General features: G+C 42.0%; 1 protein-coding gene across 5 annotated transcripts in view; it reads right to left on the reverse strand.

Annotated features, from left to right (window-relative positions):
- KCNQ3 (potassium voltage-gated channel subfamily Q member 3) overlaps positions 1-25,733 on the reverse strand; it is a 360,235-nt gene that overhangs the window by 22,809 nt on the left and 311,693 nt on the right. For all 5 annotated transcript variants that reach the window (XM_047421769.1, NM_004519.4, XM_011517026.3 and 2 more), the window contains exon 9: positions 19,799-19,825. In XM_047421769.1, the coding sequence (XP_047277725.1) occupies positions 19,799-19,825 (27 nt within the window). The remainder of the gene's footprint in view (positions 1-19,798; positions 19,826-25,733) is intronic.

Genomic DNA, 25,733 nt, shown 5'->3' on the forward strand with positions numbered 1-25,733 from the left:
GCTCAGCCAACTGAGATTCAGGAAGCGCTCAATAGATGCTGGCTGTCATTATTAACTGAGTAAGTAATCCTTTTCCCACAGAAGCAGTAGAAGGCTGACGATGTGTGTGAAAAGGATGGATACAATTCCCTGGGCCACAAATAAAGGTTTTTTTGGTTGTTGTTGTTTAAATGAACTGAAATGAGTTTGGGAGATTCATATATTATTTTACAATACTTCTTAATGCTAGTTTAAAAAGTTCAACATTGTCATTCTACTCCACTTCCGTATGAGATAAGTATATGAGGAGCTTAATTCCAGATAAACTAAGCAAGACAAAATTAATAGCAGCCACTTTTTCCTGAATTGAAGTTTCAGTATAATTGTTGAATATAAGGAAGATAATGAGAGGACTCTCTTGGTTCTATCTGTGCTGGGATTTAGGATTTGCTTGTTAGATATTTAAATGCTTCACTGCCAACCTCAAACGGTCTGGATTGTTTTGGCCACGTTCACTTAAAACGCCATTGGTCACAGATGGCAGTTTAGATGGTGTTAGGAATCCAGATGCGTGGAACAAAGTCAGAAGTCTCGGCTCAGAATTGCTCACAGCCATTGCACCTAAGAGGCTTATGGAATTCTTCCTCCAGCAAAGTGGATGATCAGCTTACTTCTTAATTGTGTTGCCTGAAATCCAAGACCCCAAAGGATAATCAAATGCAAGGCAAAGTTCACTGCTGAAACTCAAAACCCAACTCTGTTCTACGCTGTATGGATTTCCAGTGCATAATTAAGGTGTTGTTCTAGGAGGGCACTGCAGATCTTGCAAGAAAAGCCTTCCCCAGAGATGACATCAGATTTTCTTCGAAAGCTAGGGCTCTTGACATGTTAAGTGCAGGCAAACAACTTCCAAATATGAGTTGTAAAAACTGCAAATAGGTGGACTGGGCATGGAAAAGGAAAATCAAGGTTGTTCTATCCTGGACAATATGGCTCTTGTCCTGGGCTCCTCCTTCAGGTATCAGCATGGGGAACTTCAGCCATGTTCAACTCCGTGTAGTTTCTTCACATTCAGTGTTTTGCATGTGCTGTGAACTCGACCTGGGAAAATCTTCATCCCTTTTTTTCATCTAAATGACTCTTACTTTTGCCTAAAACATGGTCCAAGCATCAGCCCCACATCTGGACGTTCAGTCTAGTGGCTACTGAGATCCATTAGACATCCATTCTCTGTGCCCCTAGTCCACTTCAGGCTTTTCTCATCCATGGCACTCGGCCACTACAGGGAAATATTTCACTTAATAGGGACTCCCTTACTAAATCAGTGGTTCTCAACTAGGGGTGATTTTGAACCCCCAGCCAGGGCACATTTGGCCATGCCTGGAGACATTTGGTCGTCACAACTACTGCTGATATAATAATGGGGAGCACTATTGCCATCTAGTGGGGAGAAGCCAGGGATGCTGTTAAACATCCTGCAATGCACAGGAAATTCCCAACAAAGAATTATCTGTCACAAATATCAATAGTGCTGAGGTTGAAAAACTGAATGGTAAGCTTTTGGGCCTGAAACTACCATGTTCAACTTGTATATACAGGATCTAGCACAGTATCTGGAATGTCGCAAGCACTAAAAGTATTATTACAATGTTGAAAGAAGGAAGGAAGTAATAAAACATTCAATCTTCTGATTAACAAAATGTGTCTAACCTCAGCTGAGAAAGGGACTGCTGTATAGTGGAAAGAGTGTGGACTTTGAAGTAAGAGAACTGAGTTCCAATCTCTGCTCTGTAGTTTATATTTCACTTAGGAAAGTCATTAACTCAGATTCAATTTCATCTGTAAAATGAAGCTAATATTTATTCATTCAACAAAAATGTGTTCCACACCTAGTAAATCCCAGGCTCAAGGTAACTTGTTAACATACATTGGTGATTAAAACCAATGTGGTTTTCTGTCTCTAGTGAGCTTATGATAAAGTCGAGAAGACTTCTGTCTCTAATGAACTTATGATAAAGTCAAGAAGACATATAATAAGTAAACAGACACATTCATTGCTAGAAATCTGACAAGGAGACCAAGAGAATGCAGTAATGAAGAATGGGAGGTTGACAGGTAGGGTGGCTCAGGAAGGCATCTTGAGTAAATGGGAAGATGAATTAGGAAACCAGTTTCAGTAATCAAGGATTAAGATGATGGTGGTCCGGAGACAGAAGCTGAGATCTGAAAGGCAAGAAGCTGGATTTCAAAGAAAGGAGGCAAGAGCTCTCCAGGCGGAAGCACTGCATGTGGGTGCGAGGGGCATGAGGACTGGACTGTGGCACCAAAGGGAGGGCATGTGGCCAAAACATTCTAAGTGAGAGGCAGAGTGGCACCAGATGAGATCAGAGTCCAGATAAGTCAGAGACTTTAGAAATGAAATACTATTTAAACAGAAATAGAAAATAGGAGTTTCAATTGTATTCTAAGTGTACGTGGGGCCCACAAAGATTTTTGAGGAGAAAGTATTTGAAGTTTGCATTTTAAAAAACACATACCTGTTCATTGCAGCATTATTCACAACAGCCAAAAGGTGGAAGCAACCCAAATGTTGTCCATCAGTGGATAAGTAGATTAAAAAATGAATGGACATACAACGGGATACCATTTGGTATTAAAATGGAAAGAAATCCTGATACATGTTGCAACATGAATAAACCTTGAGGACATTATGCTAAATGAAATAAGCCCTTCAGAAAAAGACAAATACTATATGATTCCACTTATATGGGATATCAAGTGTGGTCAAGCTCATACAAACAGAAAGTAGAATGGTGGTTTCCAGGGCCTGGGAGCATGGAACAGGGGAGCGTTGTTTAATAGAAATGAAGTTTTAGTTCTGCAAAGTAAAATGTTCTGAAGATTGGTTTCATAACCATTGTGAATACACCAAATACTATAGACCTGTACTTTTTTTTTTTTTTAAACAGGGTCTACACTCTGTCATCCAGGCTGGAATGCAATGGTGTCATCTTGGCTCACTGCAACCTCTGCTCCTGGGTTCAAGCGATTCTCCTCAGCCTCCCGAGTTACTGGAATTACAGGTGCTCATCACCACACCTGGCTAATTTTTGTATTTTTAGTAGAAACAGTGTTTTGCCATGCTGGCCAGATTAGTTTCAAACAAGCCTGGCTAATTTTTGTATTTTTAGTAGAAACAGGGTTTTGCCATGTTGGCCAGATTAGTTTCAAACTCTTGAGCTCAGGTGATACGCCCGCCTCGGCCTCCCAAAGTGCTGGGATTAGAGGCGTGAGCTGTTGCCCCTGGCCGAGATCTGTACTCTTAAAAATGGTTAAGATAGCAACATTTTATGTTATGTGTATCTGACTACAATTTTAAAAAAATTTAAAAAGAACACAATGGGCTTTTTGGTGGAGAAGGGATCCATGGGAAGCAAAAACAACAGAGAGAGACTGAAAAGGAAGCCACTGAAGATATCCAGGCAAAAGATGCTACTGCTGTGGAGTAGGGTGATTGATTGCAGTGGGTGGAGTAAGAAGACTAGAACTTTGACATCAATTTTCAACTAGTACACCAATATTCCCTGACGGGTTCTAGATGGGCTGTGAGGAAAAAGATTGATAAATAACCACCCCTGGTTTCTCGTTGCACAGATAAGTTGTGCAATCACATAGGTACCCGTATTATAACCATCATAAGCTATTTTTTTTGGAGTTGGGCAAGACTTCGAACAAGCAAGTGTGGAGAAAAAATCAAAAGTGGAGTTTGGGACATGTTACTTTTAGGAAGACTGAGAGGCATCGTGTCAAGTAAGAAGTTGGTGACTGTGTCTTTTTTATTCATTGCTATATTCCCAGACTCTATAATGGTTTCTGGTACACAGGAGTGTCTTAATAAATATTCATTGAATGGTAGATGAATGGATGGATAAGTGAATGGATGATAGAGAGATGAATGGATGGATAAATAAATGGATGATAGATGAATGGATGGATGAAGATGGGTGCATGGATGATAGATGGATGGATAATGGATATATGGATGACGGATGAATGGAAGCAGTGTGACTAGAGTCAAAAAAGAGAGATTTCGAAGAAAGGGTTAATCTGTCTTGCGCCATTTTGATATGAGTGCTCAGTACAATGGTGCAGACTGAGTGCCCAGCACAGAACAGCCAATCCCATTTATAGGAGTCAAGGCCTTCTCTCCTTCATTCTTTCATCCTTTAATCTTTTCATGTGGAAAGGGTGGGGACTAACAAAAGATCTGCAGTTCCCTTTAAGAGTACTTTTAGAGGCTTCCTAACACATGGTCTATCCTGAGAGAGACAGAGAAAGCAGACAGGTAATAAACACCTGTCACCTTCCATATGCCAAATTTTTGAGGCTTTGGTGTCCTATTTTTCTCTCTAAGAAAAGACTATAAATGAAAGTTGCTGTCAGTGCTTATTTCTTAAGATATTTTATTCTTTAAAATAAAATGGGAAATGCTAACTGGAGATGAGATGATAATGAACGTGAAGTGGCCAAAAGAAAGGGGGTCTGGAACTTGACGGGCCTTCCTTAAATGGTATAAACATTGAAGAAGATGATGGTAATTTCTTTTTCTTTTTTTTTTGGAGACAGAGTCTTGCTCTGTCGCCCAGGCTAGCTCTTGGCTCACTGCAACCTCCGCCTCCTAGGTTCAAGCGATTCTACTGCCTCAGCCTCCCGAGTAGCTGGGATTACAGGCACACACCACTACACCCAGCTAATTTTTTGTATTTTAGTAGAGACGGGGTTTCACCGTGTTGCCAAGGCTGGCAATTTCTTTACAGCTTTCACACTGTTCGTGGTAGAGCTGGGAGAACCAAATAACTCCTATCCTTTGTGTGATGGTTAATTTTATGTGTCAACTTGACTGAGCCAAGGGATCCTCAGACAGCTGATAAAACTTCATTTCTGGATGTGTCTGTGAGGGTGGAAGAGATTAGCAGTTGAATCAGTAGACTGAGAAAAGATCAGCCTTCACCAATGTGGATGGACGTCATCTAATCCTTTGAGGGCCCAAATAAATCAAAAGGAGGGAAAAGGGTGAATTCACTCTCTTTGTTTGAGCTGGGACATTCATATTCTCTTGCCCTTGGAGATTGGAGCTCCTGGTTCTCAGGCCTTTGAACTCCAGGACTTACACCATTTGGGCTCATGGTTCTCAGGCCTTTGGACTTGGACTGAATTAAACTGCTGGCTTTCCTGGTGTTCCAGCTTGCGGACAGCAGATTGTGAGATTTCTCAGCCTCTGTAATTATGTGAGCCAATTCCTATAATAAATCTCCTGTTATAAACCTCGCTATATTCCATTGGTTCTGTTTTACTGGAGAATTCTGACCATACACTTTATTTCTCTACAGAGGAATTTATTATTTTGTAGCTAGAAACAAAGATTTGCCGTTCATGTAGGTTTTCTGTGCGTTTTTCTTGGGACATGGTTGTGCTTCTTAGCTGATCTAACCAATTGACATTTCTAGAGATTTTTCATATAGAATTGATAGATGCAGGAGGCAGATGAGGGGGAAGGTCCCAGGGAATCTCTAACAGGCCTGTGCACTGGGAGGACAGGGTGGGGCCGCAAAAAGTTCCTGCTGCTTGCAGCGGGGAGGAGCCTGGCCTCTCCTGTTCCTGGGTGGGGACTTGGGATGCTATCTGTGAGATGGCGGCCTGTTAATAGGAACCCTTCTCGCTTTGCTGAGTGGTTTTTCCTTTTTCCTTTTGCCCACTAAGTTCCGTAACCCCTCTCCCTTCAAAGTGTCTGCATGCCTAATCTTTCCTGGTCATGTGACAAGAACCCGGTTTCTTCCTACAACATTTTTTTGGTGCCCAGAACATGGGATCTGAGGAAAGGAGGGTGGAATGGGGACCCAAAACCTTTAACTTTTGCTTCTGAGCCTTTTGGTTCTATGGCATTTATCTTCTTTGTTTTGGAACAGTAATGACAACTATCTTTCCTTTTACAATACAATACTGGAGGTGGTCCACACCCACCCCAAGGGCCACAGACACGCGCGCGGGACAGTTGGGCCAGGCAGCTGCCTGTCCCTGCTTCCCTACCGACTGGAGTGCATGGCTGTAGTGTGTGCCTCATGTGTGTGCAGTGTCCAACGGCCATGCAGGGTAAGTATGAGCCACAACTGCTGCCTGGGCCCCAAGCAACTGGCTGGCATTCCCTGCCACGTGTCCACAGAGTTCCCCCCTCCCCCAGCCAGAGAGTCCAGCTCTGTCCCACAATAGTTTAGCTTCTCTCCCTGGTGCAGAAACCATTTGCCATAAGAATAAGAGGTTCTTCCCCCAGTCATCCTTTTCTCTTCTCCACCCTGTCAGCAGTTAACACAGCCCTGGATTTAACCTCCTTTTCTCTACCCTGTCAGCAGACGACTTTTAAACAAAGCTTTTTTTTTTTTTTCCTTTTGGAAGACATTTTGTTGGGCTGGGAATGATGGGGATCACTGTATTTTTGGTAGAGTTTTAAATGTGAGAAAGTATTTGTGAGGTTAGTCTTAAGCTGTAGCCATTCTGGTGTGCTTTGCACGTCTTTCTGTATGGCTGGTAGCAAACTTTGCTGCAGGCCTCCATCTTGATTTACATCCTTGAGGGCGTGGCCTGTAACCTCGTGGCAGGGCTTTGTTTAGCCTTTGGGTGGCCTAGATTCAATCCTGGCCTAGGGAATTAGTCCTTTCTGGTTTGATATGTGAGCTTTTGTGGTTTGTTGATTCCCTTACCCTCCACGAACCACCTTGGATTTTCCTTTCTCTGAGCCTTTAGTAAAGTTTGAAAGCCAGAAACATTGGCTGCTTGGTATGGCTAAAGTTGGCTAATAAGGGAATTAAAAGGATTTTCTTAAGGAGTGCTCACCTTAATTAAAAGTGGATTATCCAAGTTATAGTTATATTTACAAGGACTTTATGTTTTCCTTTTCTTGGACCTTGTTTTGCTGGGAAAAGGTTTTTTTTTGGTTGACTGAAATATTTTTCTCCATTTTTGCCTTGCCACTTTTAATGCACATATGAGAGGGGAGAGACCTCTGTTTTCTTCATGGAACCCCAGGAATTAATAGTACCTGGAGGTCAATAATCCAAATAGGAGATTGGCAAACAAAAGATCTTATGGGGACTGGGTTTTCTTCTGCCTGTCTGTGTAGTTATATATGTGTTGTGTGTGTGTGATGTCTGTAAAAAGATCTTTAATTAATTGGCCTAAAAGAAGGTAAGTGCTTGGATCAAATATTTTTTAAAGGGAAGATAAAAGCTGTGGTAATTTCACGTGGCTTTAATCGTTGAAAAATAAAAACATTATTGTTGGTTATAAAAAATAATTATTGGTAAGAAGCAGATGTCATCAAAATATAAATAGGTGGACTAAATTATGCAGGTCAGATCCTAGGTTGGCTAAATGTTTTAAGGTTATAGGCTGCTTTTTTGGCTTTTGAGAACTTTTCAATTTGCCAGCTTCACAACTGGTAAGGCCTGGGGACATGTGGAACTAACCACACCCTTAGTTATGCTGGAAGGAGTCAAACCTTGGCTGCATCTAGCACATAATCAAAACAAATTACCAGGTTCTACATTAAAAAATTGCTAACTGTTACCATTATGACATGTAATTGAGACTACTGGAAATAGATTTATGTGCAAGGCGTGTAAGAACAGTAAAATGTGTTTTTAATAAAAGGTTAGAAAAAGGCATAAAAATATAAATTCTTGCCTAAGGCTAAATAATTGTTTTAAATTAGATATAATAAAGCTAAAAGTTTAAACAAATGGTGGAAGGATTGTAAAAATTAATCTTACAAAATTCCATGTGTGAATATATTGATTAAATACAAAAGGGTATTATATGGTTTTTCTGTAAATTGAGCATTAAAATAAAAGCACAACAAGGTATTCTCAAGGCATTAATCTTCTCTTTAGCAAAATTTGTAAAGGGTTATAAAAGGTTTTTGCTTTTTTAAAATTTCTGAGTCATCATTTTGGCAAAATAATTTATGGTAGTATGTAATTCTATTTCATAATGTCAAGTGTTTTAAGCCTCTAACATATTTAACAGGCTTGCCCAAATCAAACTTCAGTTTCAAAACTGTGTTTCCTGATATCTGGATTTTTGGATGTTTCAGAGGGCCTCTGGAGTATCCAGAAAAGAGAAGTAAATAGGATTATTTGACATGTTTACGTACATGGGATTGCTACAGTGGTATACAATCTTCTTTAGGCTATATTTTGGTGAATAACATCAATATATGTTCCAGAATTGTATGGGATTTCTAAAATTCTAATGTCTAAGTATATGCTATCATAATTAAGGTTATGTTAAGTTATTGGATACCATGAGATAATCAAACTTCGTTGTCAATTGTGTTTCTAACTCTAACGACCCCGGACATTTGATAATTGTTGTCTTGTTTTAATCTCTTTCAAAAGACGGTTTATAATAAGCTACAGAACTTTGGCAGACACTCTCAAATACAGGTTTCTGATAACTTTGGAGATTGTGCCATTGGAATAAGGAAAAAATGTACAGGACTCATGAAGAGCTAAAATGTTCATGAATATCAAGCAAAACAAGAGCTAACCGAATGAACTCACAGAAAACCAAAGCAATCTTTTTGACTTTTGCTTGGAATATTGCTGGGTTTTGTTTTGTTTTTCAGAGTCAAGGAAACTTATTTTGAACTATTTACAGCCTTTAACAACTGAGTAAGGTATACTCTGTGAACAAAATTTGGAGCATGTTTCTTTCTGTCTGCCTGCTTGTCCTAGAATTTGGAAACTAGTTGTGAGTATTCTCTACTCATGGCAATACAATTGTTTGCATCACTGCAATAAGAATCCATTTTCTTTTGCAACAGGAAACAATTGTAGAAACTGGTTGTTTTACCAAGGCTTTGACTGGAAGGGTATTCTTCTCTTTAAGGAGTCAAGCTTGACTTGCAGAGCCAATACAAGCCCCTTGGAAAAAAACTGGCCTCATACCTTTGCCTACACAGTCCCTGTACAGGGTTCCTGACCTGTGGTCAGTAAAAAATGTCATTTTCTAACAGGCCCAGGAGTTCCAAGTTTATCTTGGGACCTTAAGAGGAGAGGATCACCCAACTCACAAGTATTTGAGGATACAAACCCATGGCTGGGCTCTGCTTTAAAAGGTCTTATCTGAGATTCCTTGTGGGACAGAGTTCCCTCAAAGCCAATCTAAAAGGCCTATGTAGACATAATTATTCTAGCTGCACTTTATGCAAATAATCAGGCCAAGTATAAGACTAAAATGTATTTTGCAAACAACTCTATCCCATCATGATTTTTTTAAACAAAAATGAGTATTGGAGAGAGAGGAATTATGTTTCAAAACCTGTTATAAGTTTGTCATTAAATTCTCAACTCATTAGTTGTTTTTAAAAGTTTTTGCCTACATTTTAGACTAACCCTGATTGTTCCTGTGAACCAACCAGCAATCTCTGGCTGCAGCTCAGAAGAAACAAGAGGGATGGGTAATGTAAAAATCTGGATCAATATTCTAGTTCTGAGCCATTATCTTGCAAATCCCGCCAGATGACAGGAATAAATAGAGTGCCCCTAACCCAGAGGTTTCCTTTTTGGGAAAGTAAGACCAAGAGAGAAAACCAAAGCCAAGCACATGCATCCAAAGAGATCCTTTTCTCTGCCTGTATGTGTCATAAGACATCCTTTTCTCTCCCTTGTTAGAGAAGGACTCAATTCCACAGCTTCACTTTAGTATTCAGCTTATGATAAGGAGTCCATGCAACCCCCCAAGACACATTTTTGTTCCAAACTCAATTCCAAGCTTTGGGTCAAAGCCCTAGGAAAGAAAACTGGATCTGAGGGATCCAGAGGCAGATGATAACAGCAGTTAAAAGGCACAGCACAGGTAAGCATGACTGATTCCTGCTGATTAAGCCAAGCTTCCCATTTCATGGATAAAAACACCCTCTTATATCACACTAGTATTCATGGCATAAATGAGGTCTAGGTAATTCAAGGCTGTTGACAGCAGGAGAAAGAGGGCATATGTGGGTAATAGTGGATACTCCTACCCCGCAAGCCCCCCCCCCATTAACATGGGTGAAAGCCTCTTTAACACCCATGGGTGGCACCCTTCATGGTCACCAGGACTCAGAGATAGAAGGAGGAAGGAGAGAAAAAGGAATGCCTCATTTTCCCTCCCTTATGTACCCTAGGTATTTGCTAGGAAGAGAAAGGAGCCAGGGACACCTATTCCCCTCTTTCTAGATGAGTAGCCATTCATCTTCAGTCTGTACCCCTTTCAAATGCATCCTGAACCCCTGGGACGCCTTTGAAAAAAAATGCCATTTTTTTTCCTTTTTCCTCCTGTCCTCTCTTCATTGATAGGTAATTGTGTCTCTGTATTATGGGACACTCCCTTCAGATGGATCCTCCAAACTGGGAAAAGTTAATGTCCCAAACCTTAAGCTGGTTGGCTTAGGACTAGGCTCAGCGGAAGGGAACCCAGAAGCCTGATGTACCATCAAAAGGGTAAAAGTTTTTTTTTTTTTTTTTTTTTTTTTTTTTTAGCCAATCAGGCTTTTTGCCCCCTTCTCCCCATACAAACTGGTAAAAGCCCCTGGGATTTTTGAGCTGTCCTTACCACACACTCTTATTTCATATTTATACGTGTTTTCTAATAACTCAGTTTGTCTCTTCTTCAGGCCATGAAACTCCAGTCATGCAACTGGAGCCTTGGGCAATGGCCCCTTCTCGTGGGAACCCTTGGATAGGCCCCTGAGGGCAATTTGACTGCCGTTTTCCCAAAACAGCACCCCCTGTCAACAGGAAGCAGTTAAGATCTGTCTTCATCCTTATCCTTATCCTTATTCTAATGGCAGTTAGATGTACTTCTTTAGAGGAGGGAATGATAGATGCAGGAGGCTGGTAAGGTCCCTGGAGAATCCCCAACCAGCCTGTGCAATGGGATGATGGGGTGGGGCTGCAGGAAGTTTGTGCCGCTTGCAGGGAGGAGGAGCCTGGCCTCTCCTGTTCCTAGGTGGTGACCTGGGATTCCAACTGAGAGATGGAAACCTGTTAACGGGAACCCCTCTCACTTTGCTGTGTTGTTTTTCTTTTTTCCTTTTCACCCAATATATTTTGTAACCTCTCACTCTTCAAAGTGCCTGCATGCCTAATCTTTCCTGGTCATGTGAGAAGAACTCATTTTTTTCCTACAACAGAATCAGGTGATTGGAGAAAAGATCACAGGCCTAGGCACCCAAGGCTTGAAGGATGAAAGAATGAAAGATGGACGGAAGAAAATTAGGACCTTAATTCTTTGTTCAGTTCAGTGTAAATCTACTTAGCCCTTGAGAGGACAAAAGAAAGGTCTTCAGTGGATTCTTCCCTGTTCTCTCGTTTCTGGTAGAGCTTAAGAGTTTCCTTCCTTTGTGCCTGTTTCACCTGCCCCTGTGTCTCTAACATCTCCCTGCCAGCACCCCCGACACTACATTGTTCTTTTCAGCTGACACATCTGCTCCTCCCATCAGATTGTGAGGGCCTTTCCCGTTAGGATATGAGTTACAATTCCCTGAGAATCTTCAGGGCTGACAAAAAGCAGAGCTCTTAATGCTCAGTGTTTAGGTTAGGGAAGGCAGAGGATAGAATGAAGAAAGGATGGATGGAAGCAAGGAGAAAAGTGTTGCAAAGCCAGGATTCAAATCTAGGTTGATCTGACTCCTAAACTAGCTCTACGCCATATGGAAATAACCCCGGGCCAAGAAAACCTGGAAATATGGTTGCAAATCAGGATAACAATGATAATAAAAGCAAACCTTTAAATAATACTTACCATGGGCCAGGCTCTATTCTAAGCATGCAATCCTTACCACAGCCCTAGGAGATAGGTACCCTTATTATAACCATCATATAGATGAGGAAACTGAAGCACAGTGAAGTCTGTAATGTGCCCAGAATCACATAGCCAACATTATTAAAAGTAATCTGTAACGTGCAACGTCTAACGTGGCAAAACAACATGGTTCCAATTCTACTATTGTGGCTGGAAACTTATAGCACAAAGGACCTGAAGCGGCTTGGAAATCACCTAGCTCAATCTCTGCCTTCTAGAGATAAGGGACCTTGGGCTCAGGTGGCAGGTGATTCCCAAAGGACTGGCTACTCTGGGGAAGGGGAAGGACAGATAAAGCAAGGAGGAAGCAGGATTGTGATTGGACTGACCACTGGATTGGAAGGAACAGCATCATTATTTTGAAATAACTCTGATGTGTTAATTGGGTTCTCTCAGTTAAACAGGTTTGCAAAATTAGTTCTGCTGAACTCGAAGGCCTGTTTGGTTCCCTCTAATCCAGTGAGTCTGAGGATCTATGAGGATGATTCCAGGACATTTGCAGCTGGTACTCCAATGACACTGATGTGAATGTGGAGAGCGACATATTATTTTCTTCCGGTCTCATAAGAAATGTTTTCTCCATTTACCCAAATCTCTTGTCTGAATAATACACCAGTTGATCAGCACTGATCTCTAGTGAGCACCTATCATGTCTTGAAGAGAGCATTTACTACAGGCTGAGCTCTCTTCAAGACATGATAGGTATGATTCCAGCCAGCCCATGTGGTCAGCATTATTATGATTTCCACAGACAAGAACATGGAGACACAGAAAGTTTGCATAAGTTGCCAAGAGCACACAGCTAATTACAAGGGAAGCCAGGTTTTGAAGTCTAGTAGTCTGACTCTGGACTCTGTCCTCAGTCCCTACGGCTATGACTACCTCCTAACTCTACTACCTAGTTATTTTTATTCCCTGGTTAAAGAGAAGAAATGACCATAGATCTGGAGGGATCCAGGCAGACACAGGTTCAAATCTCAGCCCCTGTGTGAGTTGTTTCACCTTGCTAATCCCTAGTATCCCCAGTGGTGTAGGGGGATAATACAATCTAAATCTTTCATAAATATCTATCTCAAAGTCATGTATCCTGGATCTGCTGAGACAGGTTCCCACCATATGCAACCTACCACACTTGTTTTTGGCAAACACAGAGGGTTAAATTGTGTTGCCCCACACAAACATGTAGTATCGCTAACCCAATACTTGGGAACATGACTTTATTTTGAAATAGGGTCTTTGCTGATGGAATCAAGTAAAGATGAGGGCATATTGAATTAGGGTGGGCCTGTAATCCAATGACTGTTGCCTTTATAAGAGAAATGAGAGGGAGTTTGGGACACAGACACACTCAGAGGGAAGAAAGCCATGTAAAGTGGGAGGCAGAGATTGGAGGAATGGGTCGAAAAGCCCAAGGATCAGCATGAACTACCTGAAGCTAGGAAGAGGCAAGAAAGGACTCTGGTCTAGAGCCTTTGGAGGGAGCATGGGCAGGCAACATTTTGATTCCAGACTTCTAGCTTCCAGAACTGTGAGAGAATAAATTTCTGTTGTTCTAAGTCAACCCATTATGTGGCAATTTGTTATGGCTGCTGTAGAAATCTAATAGCAAATGAGGGCTTGGTGAATGTACTTAGTGGAAAGTTCTATTTTCAGACTGATGAAGCCAAGTCAGGGAGCCGAGACACATTCTTGTGTGCTAAGGGATACCATGCTCATAGGTAGAGAGAAGGCCACATGAACCATAAGGAGGACCATCTTTTCCCTATTTTTGAAGTCATAAAAATGCAATGTCAATACTTTCAGAAGAATTTGGAAGAAGCTGATAGCTCTACTAGCTTCTCTACATGGAAGGAGGTGAATTATCCAACTGGGTTATGGTGTGTGCAATAGCCATTCACCCATGTTCTTTGATTGGGAGAGTTCTGTATTAAATGTCAGTGTTCAGATATGGTCTTTCTCTCTCTAGCTCTCAGTGCCCAGTGGCTGGCTGGGAGAGTGTCTGCTCTGTCCCTGTGCTGTTTCCAAGGACACACTTGGTGAGGAGTGTTGCCCCCAGAGCCAACCTTGCTTTACCCAGAAAATGTAACCTGTGTTTTATTTTATTTTATTTTTTTATTTTTATTAATTTCACTTTAAGTTATGGGATACATGTGCAGAACGTGCAGGTTTGTTCCATAGGTATACATGTGCCATGGTGGTTTGCTGTACCTATCAACCCATCATCTACGTTTTAAGCCCCACATACATTAGGTATTTGCCCTAATGCTCTCCTGCCCCTTGCCCCCCATCCACCGACAGGCCCCGGTGTGTGATGTTCCCCTCCCTGTGTCCATGTGTTCTCATTGTTCAACTCCCATTTATGAATGAGAACATGCGGTGTCTGATAACCTGTGTTTTAATCCTTTGACTTCTAGGTATATTTCTTAATTGGTTCATAATTCAGAGGGGAATTACATAGCCCTCCACACCCCATTATCCCAAGAGGAAAACTGAGACTAAGTCTTCAGGACATATCTGGGATCCCTCTGAGGTTAAATAAAATTGGTCCAAATCTCACCTCTGCATCTGTTACTCTGCAGCCTGGGATAATGTTGCAGGGTCTGGATAGCAGGAGAAAATACTAATAGCTATGGGGTTGTGTTCAAGCCTTTTGTTTTGCTCTGGTTAACAATTTCCTCATCAGTAAAATTAGGGGATTGGATTGATTGAGCTCTAAATTCATGTTTACCTTTAGTAGTCATTGATTTTGAAGCATGGAAGGTGTTTGATTGCCAACATTGTTCATGACTCTGTGAGATAAATTTCATGTGGCTGATGTCACAGGGAGAAGGCAAAGCGTGAATTATAGTGTCTGACCAAATGTTCTTTCACACCACAGATGACCCTGGCTCTGTGCCTTTTCTTGCCTCTATAGCCTCCTCCTGTGTCAGGGACTTCAGCTAGGTGGGCCAAGAAAGGGTAGAAGAGAACAGAACGAGCAAAAGGGACACCTGCTGTGACTGACTAGGTAACTGTTCCCAACAGCTGGAAGGAGGAGCATAGTGGTAGGAACCATGAACTACAGAGCTAGACCAACTGGATCCAAGTCTTGCTCTTGCACTTTCTAGCTTTGTGACCTTCTGCAAGTCACTTATCTATCTGACCTCAGTTTCTCATCTATAAAATGGGGATTAAAAATAGTACCTATCTCTTAGGGTGGTTATGAAGAAGAGTTGTGCTTACAACTATGCCGGGGAAGCAGTCAGCATTCTTTGTAAGTTACTATTGGATTCTTTGATCCAAAGAATGATTCTCTACTAAATTTGACCACTCTGTAGTGGGAAAGACATAATCATCACATAGGAAATAAAGATGGTACCTGGGACAGATTTTTTTCCCTCTCCAAATATGAATACAGAGGAGAAGATTCCTGAAGGCTGCTGTTCAGATTGAATTGGTAGAAAATACAGAGTGAACCACTGGGCTCAGGCAAGCAACTGCTGTCAACACAGTTATCTATTTTGAGAATTTAAAAAATGCTAGTTTCTATCAAAAAGATGTCCATAATTATCAGCACTGTTGCATGTCTACTGAATAGTTATTATTGCTGTTCAAAATGATGGACCTAACACAAAATGCCAGTCTTAATATGGTTAACTGTTCACGTTCTTTAATGCAATATTATTATTAGGAATTTGAAAACTTACAGGTAGAATTTATGCCTGCAATGAACAATTATCGTGTTTTGTCTACTTGATGTTTCGTCCCTCATTCTTTGAGGAAAAAAGGGCCCTATTCTTTTCAAGAACTGAGTATCCCACTTCAATCATGTGACTCTAATGGGGGTTGCTAAGTATAGTATCTTACACCACACCCACTCACTCTAACAGGTGGAAATCTGGTCCAGAGCTTAGACAGTAGCGGCTTTTACTCTTCAAGGGGTAGAGATTGTCCAGGGTGTGAATATGTAACTCAAACTGGGTCAATCTGAGTGCTTCTCTGGGATTTTAGAAACTGGTGTTTGGTGAAGGGTAGGTGGACAGAAGAGAGAGGAAATATATGTGATTTTGGAGCTGTTAGTATCTACTGCTTCACTGATATGGAGAAAGTCGGCTGAGAGTAAAATTATCACAAAAAGAGAAACAGAGATAAGAGATAAAGAGAGAAAATCCTGGGGTCCCAGTCCTTGTTTCTTAGGGGTTCCCACCCTCTCTGATGGCTGCCTATGTGAACCAGTACACCTCCCTCAGTTTAAGTTGGGTGGAACACTATGACACTTGTAGAATAATGAGTCCATCCATCCATCTATCCATCCATCCATCATCCACCCATTCATCCATCCATCCATCTATCCATTCATCCATCCACTGTCTCACAAAGTTAATATCTACTGAAAGCCAACCATGTGTCAGGCTCTGTTCCAGGCACTGTGTCAGGTGTAGGAGATAATGCAGCGAATAAAACAGAAAAGAGCTTAGCCCCTTGGAGGCAACTGACTTAATATATATAACAGGCAATCATCATAGGATCATGGGGATAGAGACAGGGTCAGGGGCAGAGGGTCAGGAAAAATCTCTCTTGGGAGGTGACATTAGGCAGGCTTGCAAAGGAAGTGAAGGAGGGGGCTACATAAAATGTGAGATAAGACCTTCTGGCTGAGGGAAGACAAGAGCTGAGATCATGCGTCCATTGTATTAGCCGAGGTCATTCTGCACTCATGGATAACAAGGGCATGACAGCCACCTGTGTTGCAGGCAGAGTCCAGCTGATGCGGAGGAAGGCTAATGGACTCCCTATGCATCTGCAAGGTCCATCTTCAGTGTTTGACTTAGTTGTAAGTTATGTAAATGCTTGAGATCAATTTCCTCATAAGTAAAACAGAGGTACAACTCATCCCTGAATTAGGTCATTTTTTATAGTCACTCAGCAAATACATGTGGGGTACATCTTACACTTCAGGCAGAGTATTAGCCTTGTGGAGCTCATGGTCTAGAGAGGAAGAGAGGATTTAACAGGTGTATATGTAAATATGTATTATATTTATGTCATATATAAAATAAGAACCTTATTATATTTGTATAGATACATAATAACTTTCAAATCAGTTTATTGAAAAGAACTCAAGCCCATAGTCAGTTATAAAGCTGTCGCTTATGAGGGCTGTCTTGACTGTTTTGATTTATGAGGATTTGTTTGAGGAATAAAAGCTCAGTTGAATTCTTACAATGAGTGGGAGGTTGGCTTTGATAATTTTATGCTTCCTTCTCAGGCTTTCTGATTCTAAGGTTAATCAGAAAGAAAAGAGCCAACTTCTACCGTGGGCTTACTAGGGGCCGAGCGTTATAAAGTATATATGCTTTATTAGGGAAGTTCTGAGTCCTACCTCAGGGCATCATGAGTTGGGCATCTAAACTAGGTGAGAAGGGATGGGAGGGTGTCAGCTGCCTTCACTTTCATGAGAATCAAATAAGATGACATATGTAAAATGCTTAGCATAAAATTATCAAAGCCAACCTCCCAGTCATTGTAAGAATTCAGCTGGGCTTATGTTCCACAGACAAGTCCACGTAAATCAAAACATTCAAGACAGCCCTTATAAAGCCATAGCTTTATAACTAAATATGGACTTGAGCTTTTTCCAATAACCTGACTGGAAAGTCATTTTTCTTATCCCCAATATAGCACCAGCATGTTAAGTTACAGAGAATATAATTCTTTCATCAGCCTGACAAATAAACAAGTGTATAGGCTACCTATGCTAGAAGGAGGCGATAAGATAAACTCCAAATCTGACTCTATTTAGAAATATGAATAAAGGGGCTGGGCCCGGTGGCTCATGCCTGTAATCCCAGCACTATGGGAGACCAAGACGGGCGGATCACCTGAGGTCAGGAGTTTGAGACTAGCTTGGCCAACATGGTGAAACCCCGTCTCTACTAAAAAAGATACAAAAATTAGCCGGGTGTGGTGGTGCTCGCCTATCATTTCATCTACTTGGAAGGCTGAGGCGGGAGAATCACTTGAACCCAGGAAGCAGAGGTTTCAGTGAGCCGAGACTGTGCCACTGCACTCCAGCCTGGGCAACAGAGCAAGACTTCATCTCAAAAAAACAAAAAACAAAAAAGAAAAAGAAAAAGAAAAAAAAAAGAAATATGAATAAAGGAAGGTTGGAACACCAGGTGGCTGTCGGCCTGTTGAAGAAGCTATTGTAAGGTGGAAAATGCATACCATCAAGTGTGACCCTAATGCACACATACATTCCTGACATTCTGTAGTCACTTGGTTCCCCGCCTCCTGCGTAAAGGAATTGATTCCTCTGTTGGCAATTCTTGCATCCCATCTCCAGGTCTCATTTCCATCTGTAGGCTATGCAGCTATAATCACACCTGGCATCTCAACTGCTAATGCATCAGCCAGTCTGACTCTGTCCCAACCCTGGATGAAGGAGACTGAGTGACTTACATAATGACTTTGCTCTTCTTCTCTGAGGTGGGTGAGCCACCAAACACCCAGCAATAATGGGATAGATTTTCCCTCTGTGCTCTTGGCAGAGTGGGGGGTTCTTGAAAGGGACATGAGCAAGTTGATTACAAGATATCAGAAGCCCCTTTTCTAGGGAGGCATCCCCAGGAAAGCCTCAAAATGCATCTATCTGAGCCCTAATTAAACCGGAAGTGCTGAATCCAGGGCACAGTGATATTTGAATGCAGATTTCAATGAATTTTCTTCATGTCTGTATAGAAAAGGCTCTAAAGGTAGATTTAATAATTCACTTGCAGTGTCAAAATCTGCACGATTTATAAACCTGTTGGTCATGAAAGAAGGAAAGCAAAGAACACCCTGTTGGGAGTCTTGAGACCTTGATCATCTACTCCTGGTGCTTATGGGGTGTGTGATGTGGGATGAGCCTGTCCTCTCCAGGGACCTTGGTTTCCATAGAATTATCTGCAGAGATCTCTGTGGTGTCCTTTCACTCTGCCTCTGGGAGCCACGAGCTGCTGAAGATTCTCTAGTGAATGTCCTGACACCATTACTGTCATTCACCTAACCCTCCTTTACGATCTCCTCAAAGGCCCTTACAGTCCTAAGTGGGTCCAGGAAAGAACCACGTGGTTCATTTGAAAACACACCCAAAGGAAACAGAACTGACACTGTCAGTAATTGTCTCTTCCAAGTGGGATTTTGTGTGGATAGGGCTTCATGGAAACACTTGGGAGGATTTGACTTGGCCTCCCAAAGGCCACTGTTCTCAAGTGGCTCCCCTATAAGGTAGTCCAGGGTCCTCTCACCTCCTCTGCCCAAATTCTGTCAGCACTAGGAGGAGAGCATTTGGACTTAGTGTCCAGGAGATTGATTGTGAGGACTCACAAATGATTGGTCAATAATAATCGTTTAAAAATGGTTTCTACATGTCATATAGGTATATAGATAGATGTGGTTTACTGGGAAACCTCCACAGTCATGATGATCATGAATTACAGTCTCGAGTCAACTTACCATCTGTGAGCCCAAGAAGCAGATGAAATGATATATCATGAAAATAACATGGTCTTAATATTTGCACCTGACTTTGAATTTTGGTCTTGCCACTCAATCTCAACCCAACCTCTCTGAGCCACAATCTCCTCATCCACAAGGGATGATATTAGGGCCTATCTTACATTGTGGTTATGAAGACCAAATGAGATAACATATGCAGAACTCCTGACACAGAACCCAGACCCTCAATAAGAGGCTGCTGCCATGATTCCTATTAAGTTTCCCTCAGATCAACCAGAAGGAAACCAGGCAGAGGACTATGGTGGTCAGCAACAGTGTGACCCCAAAGACTCTATCTTGGGACCAGCATGACCTCCCATGGGGCCCTACACCATATGGAGCAGGATGCTCTGTCTTGACACAGAGATGTGAAGAAGGGAATTCATAATCAGAAACTTACCTGGATGCTGCCTCCAGCTGTTCTTTCCTAGAAAGAGAAGAGGGAGAAAAAATAAAGCATAAATTACGTGAAACAGCTGTATCCTTCCTCGAAAGATTGCTGCAAAGCTTCTCTCTGAAGATGATGGAGCAGAGTTGAGCTCTAGGACAGGATGGTCAGTGTGGAGGGAACCAATGAAGGAGGCGGGTTTACCCATCCAGACCCCAGCCCATGCTACTCCCGTTGGCTCTGAGGTTTTCAGGGCTCTTTTCAGCCAGTCATTCATTCATTTATTCATCCAGAAAATGGTTGCTGAGCACTTACTCTGCCCCAGCTCTCATGTTGAGCTCAGGAAATTTATTTGGTGGTGGAGACAGACCAGGAAACCAGGAATGTCATAATGTAGCAGTCACACACCCCCATAACTTTGTCACTACCATTGTCATCATAGCGAACATTGTCTTAACTCAATTAATCCTCATAACAACCCTATGAAGTACTATTATCATCCCATTTCCCTGAGGAGAAAATTGAGGCACAGAGGGATTAAATGAATTGCTCAAGGGCTCACAGTTAGGAGGCAGCAAAGTCAGGATCCAAACCCAGGTGATCTGGCTCTGGAGCCCTCACTCCTAACTGGGAGGTGCACCAGCCGTGCTTTACACATATTCATGACTCCAAGCCTTTTCTCAGGCTCTCCTTCTGCCTGGAACTCCCTTCCTCTTTTCCCTGCTTGGAACAGTCCTACTCATCCTTTATGTACACCTGGAGGGGCCCTCCTAGGGGTTCTTATTCAATTGCCCAAGGTCTACACTGAGCAAATCCCCTCACAAGTGGAATGGTACTCTGTCATTATTACGTGGATCACATTGTAGTAGAATTACATGTAGTCTCGTTTTTTTTTTTTCTTGTCTAAAATATGAGCACTCTGGAGCCCAGCACGTGAGAGTGCTCACTAAATGTTGAAAGAATGACTGGCCTAACATAGGGATCCATGGGTGGGAGGGATGAAGACAGAACAAGAGAATCATGGCAGAGAAGTAAAAGAGTTAAGAATTTCTGCTTTGAGGGTCAGCTCAGCATTTAGTTACAGTGTGGCCTTGGGCTGGCCATACATTCTCTGGGCCCATTTCCCCGCGAGCACAATAAAGTGATGAGTTAGTTGATCACAAAGCAGGTGGACACAGAAAGCTGTGACTCTCTAGGATGTTCTGAGTCTCTGAGGCCAGGAGAAGTAGGAAAGGTAGTAAGGGGAAGGAAAGGGCAAGGGGGCAGCTGAAGAGCATATTGGAAGAGAAGGCATGGTAGGGAGAAAGTTTAAAGGATTAGCACTGTCCATTCCTCTTTCACTCTCCACGATGAGTATTTCATGCTTCCTCTTCTACCATCAGACTTCTCTCACTTCTCCACCTTCCTCCCAGCTGATGACCTTGACTCCCCTCTCACTGAGATCTACCCATGGTCTCACCATCTGGCTCCACTCACCGGACTTCTGTTTTGTGCCAATGGATGAAGGGCCCATGCTCTTAATGAAGGCCCATACTCCACAGACCAGGCCATCTCTGCTTCTCTCTCCTCTAGTCTTTCCCCTTCTCCCATATGCACATTTATCCTTCTCTACTAGACCCTTTCCATCAAAGAAAAAAATTCTTGGCCTCACATCCACTCCAGCTGTCACCTACACTCACTGAACCCACTTGCTCATTTCCTCATCACCCTTCAGTTCATGTCATCTGGCTTCTGTGTCCAGTACTCCACTGAGATTGCTCTAGCCAAAGCCCCAGCCAACTCCAAGTCACAACATCCCATGAGCACATCCCTATCTTATCTTCACTACCCTTATGATAGGAAAGGACCAGTGCAGTTGACCTGTCCAGTTAACTGTTAGATCCCCAATACCAAATAGAGTGCACATAAGGGATGATCAATAAATATATGCTAAATGAATGGACTAAATGAATAAAAGGGTTTTAACAACATTCCAGAGTGTTCTAGATCATGGTTGCTAACAGTGGTTTCCCAGGGCAGTAATTCGGAGGCTTCCTTTCCCCTTCGGCATCAATACTCCCTTGCAGCCCAGATTCAATCAGCCGAGACTGAACACTTGCTATGGGCTAGGGACTAAGACAACCACTCTCACACATTTTACTCAGTTTGACCATCCAAACAACAATCTTCAAAAATGGGTCTTATTATCCAAACAACCCTTGTGTCATCTTACTTTTATCCAGTTTTCTCCCTAAATAATGTTTTCTTCCCAGAGATACAATGCAAAATAAAAACATAGGTTTTGGCACAAGACCTGAGTTCCAATCTTTGTTCCATCACTTATCAGCTGAGCGATATTAAGCAAGCTAATTAATCTCATTGACTCTCTTATTCTTTACCTATAAAAATGGGGTTATGAAAAATGGAGTTACCCCTTCTACTTACCTTCCAGGACATCCTAAAGCTTAAATAAGATAGTATGTATGAAAGCAGATCCAATGTTATTTGGCCATAGGAAATGACTAGTGCATATAGTCCCCTTTCTCCATTTCTAAGCACTCCAATAATCTTGACCCTGGTCGTAAAAGGAACAAGTCCTGGTTACACAATGAACTACCTGTTCTTGGTCAAGTATTTTCTACATCGTGGGCGAAGTCTTCTTATCTCCATTTCAGTTCTCATAGCTAACAATTCCAGAGCTGTGCTGTCCAATAGAGTAGTCATTAGTCATAGAAGGTTATTTACTTTAAAATTAAAAAATCTGTTCCTCAATTGCACTGCTAACAGTCAAATTCTCACTAGCCACATGAGGCTAGTGGCTACCATATTGAACGGTGCAGCTATAGAAAATGAAAAGCCAGACATAATTCCACTCTCCCTACCAGGAATAAAACAATGCACATGCTCTGTTTATAAAAAGCAATGTCTGATTTTTAACAGCTTCCCTCATCCCTGCTTGTATATAAGAACGTATAATCTGCCATCACTCCTACCCCAGCATCTTCCTGTACCCCCTCGGACCCTTATGACCAACTTGTACTAAGTCCATTCAGTCTCCACTGGTCAGCAGATCAGAAGACCTGGGTTTGCCCTCAGTTATGCCCAGCATGGTATGTGGCCTGAACTTCTTGGGGGTTCCTGAACTTCTGGGGGCTCTCAGGTTTTTCTCATAGAAAATTGGGTTTGGACTTGAAACTCTTTGAAGTTCTTTGCAATTCCAAAACAATGAGTTTATAATTATAATTTGTAATAAAAAAAATAAGAACAGACCACCGTCATCCATCACTGCTAGCCCCCAAAACACAGATACTTGCAAATTAACAAAGAACTACACTAAGCTGAAAATTGTGATATGGCATCATGTTGCAGATGGGCTACGCAACTTCATCCTTCCAAACCTTTGGCAGGAATCTAAAATGGTGCAGCCACTATGGAAAACAGTCTGGCAGTTCCTCAGGAAGTTAAACATAGACTTACCAATCCTACTCCTAGGCATATACCCAAGAGAGTTGAAAACATATGTCCATAGAATGTGTATGTGAATGTTCATAGCAGCATTATTCACAAAAGCCAAAAAGTGGAAACAACCCAAATTTCCAACACCTGATGAATCATTAAACACAATGTGGTATATATAATCAAATATTATTTGGCTATAAAAAGGAAAAAGGTTCTGATAGGCGCTACAACACAAATGAAACTTGAAAACATTATGCAAAGTGAAAGAAACCATGCATAAAAGAAAGACAATATATCATATGATTTCATTATACTATGAAACGTTCAGGATAGGTGAAAGAAAGACAGAAAGTAGATAGTGATTGCAGGGGCTGAGGAGAAGACGGAACCAGGAGTATCTGCTCACTGGGACAGAATTTCTTCCTGGGATAATAAAATTGTTCTAGAATTAGATAGTGGTGATTGATACCCCACTTTGTGAATATACTCAAAACCACTGAACTGTTCACTTTAAAAGGGTACCTTTTATGGTATATAAAATCCTCTTGTGAGTTTTGAAATGTATCTCAAGAAAGTTGTTATTAAAACAAGCATAAACAAAAGACAAGAAAACCTTTAGGAGGTAGGTAAGAAAACACCAGTGTGTCGTCAGCTACTTCTTTGCCATTAACATACAGAGTGGGTTGGAATTCAGGGACATTCTTTTCCCAAGGGACTGCCTTGCTTCAGAATGGTTGCTAAATGAATTTCTCTAGGGACATTATACTTTCGTCCTTGAAAAAAGAAAGAAAGAAATATATTCTCTTAGTTTAAAAACCATTCTCATATCACAGCAGCTGTCTGCAGCACAATGTATTCCTCCAAGTCTCTGACAGCTAGGACAATGCCTTATTTATAATACATCAACCCAAAAGAATGGGCCCATTGCCAACACCTTGGGATGCATACCAAATGGAAATTGTCTTGGTTCTGCATCCAAAGTGTTCTTGTTTGAGTTCAAGGTCACTGTGGTCTCTTAAGGGGAAGTCATCTGCCCATTCTAAGAAGACTCTGCTTTATGCTATCCCAAATCTTCAATGATTATAACAGGGATAGCATTTTAGAATCAAATGGAAACATGTAAGTCATGTTCTGAGCAAGTAAGTCTAGTTACAAGTAAGTATACCCAAACTTTCCCATTCTTTTATTGAAGACTTGCTTCCTCTGACCCCTCTAACTCTCCCACCAGTCATGGGTCCCTTTTGCCTGTTCTCTTTCAGGTCCTCCTTCTACTCCCCCTTCGAACTGCTTTTACCTTGGTCTAGGCCCTCATTTCCTCTTACTCTGAACCCTGCAATATTTGCTAGCTGATCTTCTTGCTTTGACTTGAGTCCATAGATCCATCCTCCACACTCTTTGCTATCATCTTCCTGAAAAGTAGATCTACTGATGTCATTCTCTGGCTCATCTAGCTTCTCATTGCCTTCAGGATCAAAGTTAGATTCCTCTGCAAGTCACCCGTGACCCTCCATGGTTGTCCCAGTGATTAACACATACAAGGGGATCAAAAATATTAGTGGACGGAGTGCCCTGAGTGCCCTGAACAGAAAGTGGCACCTGCCACCAGAACCTTTTGAGGAGTGAAAGCAAGATAGGAGGTGTGTGGCGGTGGTGATCAGGGGCCCAATCTTTCAGGGTCCTGGAGGTCATGGTCAGGTTTTGGACTTTCTTTACTTTGTCATGGTCACTGACTGGAAGGTTTTATGCCGGAAAATGAGTTGCAATTCTCTTCTATTTCCATAATCTGGAGATGGGAGTAGAAAGAGAAATTGAGGATAATGAATATGTGTGTGTGTGTGTGTGTGTGTGTGTGTGTGTGTGTGTGTGTGTGTGTGTGTGTGTGTGTGTTTGCAGAGGAGTTGTGGCTGGGCACAGAGAGAGCCCCCTATCTAGTAGCATTGGGTTATATGAGGGTCCACTGAACCTGTAGACACAATGACAGAAACTTGCTTTGAGGCAGGTTCCAGCCCCAACTATGAGGCTAACTGTCCATCTATGTTTCTTTCCAAGTCAAGGGTTCTAGGAGTCCAGCACACTACCCATACGCTTAACAATCTGAGCTCAGGCCCCTAGTATCAAAAACAAAAAAATGCACTCTGTTCTAGAAGCTCAAGTAGTGAAAAGACCATGGGCTTTGAAAGCCTCCAGATGTAGCTGACATTGGTTCAAAGTGTCAGAGCCTGACTCTGCTAGCTTCTCTGAAAGTAGCCTGGGAGTTTAAACCATTCAGCCTGGCTCCAGGTGTGGACTCTGGGCCACTGGCTCAGCCCCACCCCAGGGGCTCCTGTTCAGGATGCATTTACCATCACACTTCCATCAGAATTGCTGAAAGTGGAGGCCAGATCTACTTTGCACAATACCCCCATTAAGTCTGATGCACCTCAAATCTTCTGACTTATTTTATAGGGTACCTGTGGGGAATAAATGAAATAATGAACTCGAATGCCTAGAGCATAGTGGGCATCCAATG

This window comes from Homo sapiens, chromosome 8 (assembly GCF_000001405.40).
Source record: "Homo sapiens chromosome 8, GRCh38.p14 Primary Assembly".
Classification (NCBI taxonomy): Eukaryota; Metazoa; Chordata; class Mammalia; order Primates; family Hominidae; genus Homo; species Homo sapiens.